General features: G+C 50.0%; 1 protein-coding gene across 13 annotated transcripts in view, besides 1 other annotated feature; it reads right to left on the bottom strand.

Moving 5' to 3' along the window:
- Positions 1-5,756: 5,756 nt before the first annotated feature.
- FRMPD1 (FERM and PDZ domain containing 1) overlaps positions 5,757-8,568 on the bottom strand; it is a 143,676-nt gene continuing 140,864 nt past the window's right edge. For all 13 annotated transcript variants that reach the window (XR_929220.3, NM_001371224.1, NM_001371225.1 and 10 more), the window contains one exon: positions 5,757-8,272. Coding sequence is in view for 12 of the 13 variants with exons in the window: in NM_001371224.1 (NP_001358153.1) it covers positions 5,892-8,272 (2,381 nt within the window). In the remaining variant the exon portion in view is untranslated. The remainder of the gene's footprint in view (positions 8,273-8,568) is intronic.
- Positions 6,270-6,771: an enhancer, noted in NCBI's record as "H3K4me1 hESC enhancer chr9:37745887-37746388 (GRCh37/hg19 assembly coordinates)". NCBI's record gives its function as "activates a minimal SCP1, AML or CMV promoter by ChIP-STARR-seq in naive H9 embryonic stem cells {active_cell/tissue: H9 hESC(naive)}" and the evidence as "EXISTENCE:reporter gene assay evidence [ECO:0000049][PMID:30033119]".

The following is an 8,568-nucleotide window of genomic DNA, read 5'->3' as shown; positions in this document are numbered from 1 at the left end:
ACAGAGTGCTGATTGGTGCATTTACAAACCTTGAGCTAGATACAGAGTGCCGATTGGTGCATTCACAATCCCTTAGCTATACATAAAGATTCTCCAAGTCCCCACCAGATTAGCTAGACACAGAGTGCCGATTGGTGCATCCACAAACCCTGAGCTGGACACAGAGTGCTGATTGGTGCATTTACAAACCTTGAGCTAGATACAGAGTGCTCATTGGTGTATTTACAATCCCTTAGCTAAACATAAAGGTTCTCCAAGTCCCCACTGGACTCAGGAGCCCAGCTGGCTTCATCCAGTGGATCCAGCACTGGGGCCGCAGGTGAAGCTACCTGCCAGTCCCTCGCCGTGTGCCCACATTCCTCAGCCTTTGGGCGGTCGATGGGACCGGGTGCCGTGGAGCAGGGGTCAGTGCTCGTCTGGGAGGCTTGGGCCTCTCGGGAGCCCACGGCGGGGGTGGGGGTGGGGGTAGGGGTGGGGGTAGGGGTAGGGGTAGGGGTAGGGGGAAGGCTCAGGCATGGCGGGCTGCAGGTCCCAAGCCCTGCCCCGCAGGTAGGCAGCTAAGGCCCAGCGAGAAATCAACAGCAGCGCCGGTGGGCCGGCCCTGCTGGGGGACCCAGCGCACCCTCCGCAGCTGCTGGCCTGGGTGCTAAGCCCCTCACTGCCTGGGGCCGGCGGGGCCGGCCGCCGCTCCGAGTGCAGGGCCCGCCAAGCCCACGCCCACCCGGAACTCTAGCTGGCCCGCAAGCGCCCTGCGAGCAGCCCCGGTTCCCCCTGTGCCTCTCCCTCCCCACCTCCCGGCAGGCTGAGGGAGCCGGCTCCGGCCTCGGCCATCCCAGGAAGGGGGTCCCACAGTGCAGCGGCAGGCTGAGGGGCTCCTCAAGCGTGGCCAGAGCGGGCGCCAAGGCCGAGGAGGTGCCAAGAGCGAGCGAGGGCTGCCATCACTCTGTCACCTCTCAACATGACAGAAAAACAAAAATTTTTTACCCCAAAATATGTTTCATTGCCATAATTTGAAATGGCCCCTGCAAAGCTGTTTTGTGTTGAGGGTGCGGGAGGGATTTGCATCTGTAAAAAAACCTCTATTAACCTAACTAGATCTTTCCCCTCCCAGGCCCTTCCAATTCTGGAGATTAACTGAGTCTAGCACCTTTTTTCCCCTTCGTTAACAGGTGAAACCAAATTTGGACGGCCCATCATCCCACAGCCTTGCCCTTCCCCAGGCTTTGCCACAGCCAGCAGAGCCCTCGAGCTGACACAACCCTTTCCTGAGTACACAACCTCCCTCGCCACTGCCCCAGCCTACAACAGAATATCAGGGCTTTGACCAGGATGATTCTAGCCCCTGGGCACTCTTCTTCCTCCATCAGAGACACGAAGCGGCTTGCCCAAGCCTTGGCCTCTTTATCAGCCACTCTTCCTTCACTCCTGCAGTCCTAAGAGGTCTCACCCATTCAGAGAGACTCCAACCTGAATGAGCCCGAAATATCTCCCGTTCAAGAAACTACAGCTTGGTTGGATTCCTCCTTGGCCCAACAATTCCCCCCTGTGGACTTTTCTTTCCACAGCTCCTCTAGCACCTACCAGCCATCCCCAATCCATGCTCCAATCCATCCATTATCAGCTTCCAGGACGATTTTGTTTTTTTTTTTTACAAATTTTTTCTTTTTCTTAAAAAAAAAAAAAAAAAAGACAGGGCTTCACCATGTTGCCCAGGCTGGTCTTGAACTCCTGGGCTCAAGCGATTCGCTTGCCTCGGCCTCTGAAATTGCTGGGATTACAGGTGTGAGCCACCGTGCCCGGCTGCGATTTTAAAATACTAACACTAAAAATTCATTCCCACCCCCCCAACTCTCCACCCCATAAGGCTTTTTCTTCTTTTTTTTTTTTTGAGACGGAGTCTTGCTCTGTCGCCCAGGCTGGAGTGCAGTGGCACGATCTCGGCTCACTGCAAGCTCTGCTGCCCGGGTTCACGCCATTCTCCTGCCTCAGCCTCCCGAGTAGCTGGGACTACAGGCAGCCACCACGCCCGGGTAATTTTTGTATTTTTTTTTTAGACGGGGTTTCACCGTGTTAGCCAGGATGGTTTCGATCTCCTGACCTCGTGATCCGCCCGCCTCGGCCTCCCAAAGTGTTGGGATTACAGGCGTGAGCCACCGCGCCTGGCCCTCCCATAAGGCTTTTTCTAAAGCCCAGCTTTAACATCTCTGCTCTGCTCAGAGATGGCCCTGGCTTCCGACTGTCTGCTGAAATGCCCCAGTGGGGCTTGCACCATGGCTTAAATGATCTTCAATGACGCCTTCAGGTTTTAGCTCACACCACACCTACCAGTCCCTGCGCCTCACACTGAGCCATACTGAACACTTTCCTCCGCTCCCTGCCACCGCTCTTGTGTCCTTTGCCTCTGAATAAGCTCATAGCCACTTTCCAGTGGGAGGAAAAGACCTTCTAGCTGGTCTCATTGCTTTCCCCAATCCCCACTCCATCTGTTTGCCATATGATTATGTGTCTCTCCTGATGTAAAATCTAACCCCCTGCCCGAGGTCTTGTATTATACAACCCAGCTCCTGCATGCCCCTCCCAGCTTCATCTCCTATCACTCTTCCTCCAGCTTGCTATGTTCCAGTTGCGCTGATCCTGAAATGCTTCAAACACACTGTGAGCCTTTGCAAATACTATTCCCTTTTCTCTCACTTTTCCATTCCTGGCTTCTTATACTTTAGGCCCCAGCTTCAGCATTCCCTCTTCAGAAAGGCCTTTCCTGACGATCACTTTGGCAAGATTGGTTCATTCTATCCCTGTCTTGGCATCTTTTCTTGGTTTCTTTGTATCACCTCTCAGTCAGTAATGGATTTTTTTTTCTGTGTCTTTCCTACAATTATAAGTTCCTTGAGGAGACTATGTCTGCCGTGTTCGTGGTTGTATTCCCAATGCCACTGCATAGTATATATTTGTTGACAATAAATGAATGATTTTTTTCTACATTCTTGACATATCCAAATTCTATCTATCAGATCCAGGACCTGACACACAGTAGATACTCAATAAATACTTCTTGACAGGCTAGTTTTAATTAATGCTGATTTCTGCAGGAAGCTTTCCCTGATTACTACTCTGCCCCTCACTCCAAAATGACTTCTCTCTCCTTAGACTCCTCACAGCACCTTATCTGTTCTCTTTGGAGGCCGAGTGAACCGCGCCTTATGTTGTAAGCCTCTATCTTCACGTGTCACCTAATCTCTCTCAGGAGCTTTTCAAAATATAATAAGATTCTTCCCCAATTATTTACATTCTGCATCAAGCAGATGATGCTGCATCAGGCATCACCTGGCATGGGCAACCCATGAATGTTTGTTGAAAGAAATGAATCAGCCAATGTGATGGTGGGTGGGAAAAGGAAGGAAAGGTGTAAATGTCCCATCGTTTCTTAGTCACTAAACAATTGACCCTTGCATTTCAGGGTAGCAAGTCCCCATTCTGCCTATCTCATGTTGGAGGCTGCATGACTCAAAGAAAGTGCTAAACAGTGCAATTTCCCCTGCTTCTTTAGCTTTTCAACAAACAGTGAAGGGTTTCCCAGCACTTCTGGGACTTAGTTCTCCTCATGGGAACTGTAGAGAAAAATAGCAGCTCCATACAGTAGCAACTCAAGACAGTTAATGAATTTGAGGGGAGGAGAACCAAAGAAAAAGGAAATAAACATGTATTGAGTTCTGAGCTGGAAGCTTCAGTCTTCTTTGTGCCTTCCATGATTATTTATTCTTCACAATAATGCTGAATATATATTATTCAACAATCTCTAGGGTGTTGGCTGTATTAGAAAAATGCATTCAAGGTATCTAAATAAGACATCTGCCACATATTAGGCCCTCATTAAATGAAAAGGAGTATTATTTCCTTTTGCCAGATGGGGAAACTGAGGCCCAGAGAAATGCCTGATAACACAGGCCAAAGCCAGGATTCAAATCCTGATTGAGGCCAGGTGCAGTGGCTCACCCCTGTAATCCTAGCACTTTGAGAGGCCAAGGTGGGCAGATCACCTGGGGTCAGGGGTTCGAGACCAGCCTGGGCAACATGGTGGAACCCCATCTCTACTAAAAAAATACAAAAATTAGCTGGGCATGGCAGCAGACGCCTGTGATCCCAGCTACTCAGGAGGCTGAGGCAGGAGAATCGCTTGAACCTGGGAGGTAGAGGTCGCAGTGAGCCAAGATCGTACCATTGCACTCCAGCCTGGGCAACAAGAGTGAAACTCCATCTAAAAAAAAAAAAAAAAAATTCTTGTTGAGTGAAGTCCCGAGCTCCTCCCCTAAACTTGTGAACACATAGGTTGTGTTTTTACCTCTTCACAGCTTTCTGCTGACAAAAGTTTCAGGTCTTGTTTAACATTAGGCAATTTTTATTATTTTGGTGCCCTGTAGTTCCTATTTTTCATTGCCATGAAATTGCTTCCAATCTGTGTTCAAGAGCCTCATTTAAGTTTTATTCAAAGTATCCTATGAAAAGAAACAGGCCTCTAAGAAAATACGTCTTTTCCTGGCACAAGTACTGGTAACTGGTTTCTAGTTATTAACAACAAGTTATCGGTAACAGGAGATGGGAAGGATGCCTTTTCACGTCTTCTCTCAGGTATTGTTTTCCTTCTGTTTGGAGAGAGCTGAGGTGTGTGACTTCATACTCTCCTTTCTGTTCCTGCTTTTGCTGGGTGGAGGGAAGGAGCCCTAGAGAAGAGCCACAGCGGCAGCACTGAGCTCACACTGGTCAGGAGCACCAGAGGGACAAGGGACTCCTTTAACGAACTCTAATAGCCTAAGGTGAGTGACTAAACCACCTTTGGCCTGGACAGAGAAGCCAGGCAAAGAGGCACCCCAAGGGAGGCTTAAAATCAGTTTCCCTGGGGTCTAAAAACAAAATACAGTGGATGGTTTCAGACTAGAAGAGACGTCCATAAGAGCTGAGGGTTATTGCTAGCATTTATCATCTACTAGATTGAGTACTTGCTGGATTTCTATCCCATAAAATGGGCACTATTAGTATGCCAATTTGCAGAAAAGAAAACCAAAGCACTGAGAGGTTAGGTGGCTTGTCTAAGGTCCACCAGGATGAACTGGGATTAACTGGCTCAACTGGGGTAAGAAAGGTATCCAATATATTTCTTTTGCTTTAATTTTCTTAAAAAGGCAAATCTAATTCAAGGCTTTAATGTTCGGCTTTTTATATATTTAAAACAGGAATAAGGTGCAAGATTCAGGGATGCAATCAATTTCAGATAAAGCACATGTGTGGCCTTGCAATGAAAGAACTTCCTGCCACCTAGTGGCAACCTATGCTTGCTGCAGTGGGGCAGCCAAGAATCCCAGGCCTCCTGGTGCAGGCGCTGCAAACCATAACTTGTGAAGGTCGAAGTCTATCAAATATTACCGGTATTCACTCCTATTTGCAAAGGTTATTGCCAAATAAGTGTGATATGAGAAGTCAAGACTGTTTTTCAGTGACCCCCACCTTTCTCCCTCACCCCTGCCTTCTTGAGTATTCCTTTTGCTTCTACACTCCTTGGGTACGCTCCTTTTATGATAAACACTTTGCTGATAGTGATCTAACTAATCTGTGCCTAGAGAGTCTGTAAGCATCCTGACCAGGGGGAGAGACTTGTCTTACTCATCTGTAAATCCCAAGGCCTGGCACAAAGGAAGTATCCAGTGAATGTCTGTTGAACGAATATAAGTGAATGCTTTTAACCCAAACTCTATGACTCAGGCCAAGATTAAGCAGCAGTTTATTTGAATACTCTATATAGTAAACATTTGAAGAGGGTGGGTGGGAGAGTGGAAGGGGCTTCTCAGGGAAGTGTCCAAGGCAGGACAGGGCAGGAGGCCCTTGGGCCGTTGACCTGTTTACAGGGCCGTGGATGCCCGGAACTTCTGGGTCAAACAGAACACGGCGGCCGTGAGGGCCGTGCACTGACGGGCCAGGAGTTTCACACTCAGGTCGTGGTAGCCTCTCTCGCAGGTCGATTTAGCAGCCTCTATAAACTGATGGTAGGTGTACACCACATCCCTCAGGTTCCCCGCTGCCTCCCTGTGCCGGGCGGAGCAGCGGCTACAGTCTGTGAACTGAAAGCACAGGCCGGCCAGCTGGACCAGGTGCTGGAAGGTGTCACGCACGGCCCCCTGCATCTCTTCGGGGGACTGGTCCATTCTGATCACATGCCGACAGCTCGACAGGAGCTTCTGGGAGCCCATGCAGAGGCGGCTCCGGCTTTCGGTAAAGTGCCAGGTGCACTTCTCTGGGGGATGTTTGTTTCCAACCCCCCAGGAAGTTTCTAAAATGTCTTGTAGCTCCAGCAAGCTCTCCATGAGTTGGATGAAGCCCTCAGGGGTGCTGGCAGGGGTGGCTTTCAGCTGTCTCAGTGCCCTGGAGCAGTACTCTGGCCAGATGTGGCTTTTCCTCGACAGGGGTGCGGTGGTGCAGCTGTGGGCTCGGGCAGGCCTCCAGGGCAGAACCACCGGGCTTCCCGCAGAGGGCGGTGAGGTGAGGGGGGCCATGGGGTGTGCTTCCAAGTCCCTGTCTTCTTCCTCTGTCTCAGGCTGCGGGCCACGGAAGCATGTGGCATAGGAGAACTGACAGCTGCACTGGTCCATCCCTATCCTGGGAGCCACCATCTCATTCATGCCTGCAAAACCCAAAGATGTGGCCACCCTGAGACTGGCAGAGACTTCAGGATGGCTTTCTGGGGCAAAGCACAGAAAAGACTTCTCAGCAGAAAGGCAGATGCTAGAGCTGTCACTTTTGCCTTCTGAGAGTAAGCAATGGTTTGAAGTTTCTAAGTGAGGATCCTCTTGTGGACATGGTAGTGGTTCTGGCAGGGAAGGCTCAGGATTAAAACAGACCCACTCAGGGCTGTCCCTAGGGGCTATATCTTGCCCTGTCACATGGTTAGGTGCCTCTGCCTTGATCCCCTCTGGAGGGACGGCTGGTGAAACTGTCTGCTTCCCAAGAAAGAAATCAGGGTCTAAATCCAACTCTACGAATAGTTTTTGTTCTTGAGCCTGGCAGCCTTGCCCTGGGGGTTCTCTGCTCTGTCCTTGAGGGTCTCTAGGGGGATGTGGTGGGATCTGCTCGGTCCCTGTTACAGGAGCATCTAAAGAAAGGGAGGTTACTATTTTACCAGCTGGAGAGCTAATATCAAGAGTCTGTGAAACATTATTTGACACATCACCCGGGGAGTCACCTGAATCCTTCCTAGACTCCTCCTGAAATACGTTGGTGCCATTTTTGTTTGTAACTTCTCTGTCTCTTTCCAGAGATAGTTGTCCTTGTGGCTCTTCCTTTGTAGGGATAGAAGCTATCTTCTCTCCTGGATTTATTCCACATTCATCACTTCTAGGCTCATCTCTAGGAGACAACAAAGGCTCTGTGTATTTGGGGGCAGTTTCTTGTATATGATTTGTACAAAAAGATTCCAATCCCATTTCCAACTGGACATGGGGCTCCAACTGGAGCTCTAGTGTGTCTCCTTGAGAGACATTATTTAGTCCTGGGTTGCTGGCCAGGCAGGCTCTGTCTGGGTTAGGGTCACCACTGGAGAGGGAGAAGGAGCTGTCTCCATGCTCTATGGTTGGTTCTTTGGGGGCAATCCCATCCAGGTCTTGAGATAGAGGTAAGATTTGGGAAGGCCTTGCCTGAGCAGTATCTGGGCCAGATGAACCTGGGTTAGAACAGTGAGGAGTGCTTGCTGAGGAGCTGGCAGCAGGGACAACACCAGAATTCTCTTTATTGTTGGGGTCAATCCGGAAGCGAATGGCAGAAATAGAAGACACTCGAGAGTCGATGACTGATTTGGTTTCCATGGTCTCGGGCTCCATCTCCATGACCCTGGAGGCTGGGTTTGTGCTCTTGGTCTCCCTCAGAGGAGCCAGCAGCCCCAAGGCCTTGGTCTCCAGAAGGCCAGGCTCACCCTGCATGTCCTGCAGAGAGGACACAGTTGGGGAGGGTGCACCAAGGGCCAGGTAGGGCTCCCTGTCATAGTAGCACACGTCGTCTACACTCTCCAGGGAGGCTGATGGCACCAGGGGAAATGAGACCTGAGAGGTGTAGTCGGTCTGTAGGAAAGACCTTCTTTTCCTCAGGGTCTTGGCATATTTCTTCACCCCTCCCCTCCTGCTTGGCTGTCTTCCATCTGGCCCACAAGGCAGGCTGTTCTCAGGGCTAGAAGTGCTGGCCTTATTCTGCAAGCTTGTGGCACTGGGTTCTGCAGTAGAAACATCTCTGGGCCCTGGGAGTCAGGAAAGAAAAAATACATTAAAAAGCACAAAAAAAAGAGGTTAATAGAGCTTGGGCTCAGGCCTTGGGCTTTCCTGGGTTTAAATTCTGGCTAGGCTGTGTAACCTTGAGCAAGTTCAATCCTGATCTCCTCAACTTCCTCATCTGAAAGATGGGGATAATAATTGTGACAGATTTTTTTTTATTTTTTTGAGACGGAGTCTCTTTCTGTCACCCAGGCTGGAGTGCAGTGGCGTGATCTCGGCTCACTGCAACCTCTGCCTCCCAGGTTCAAGCAATTCTCCTGCC

Source organism: Homo sapiens, chromosome 9 (assembly GCF_000001405.40).
Source record: "Homo sapiens chromosome 9, GRCh38.p14 Primary Assembly".
In the NCBI taxonomy this organism is placed as follows: domain Eukaryota; kingdom Metazoa; phylum Chordata; class Mammalia; order Primates; family Hominidae; genus Homo; species Homo sapiens.
This window is presented reverse-complemented; position numbering and strand designations above follow the sequence as displayed.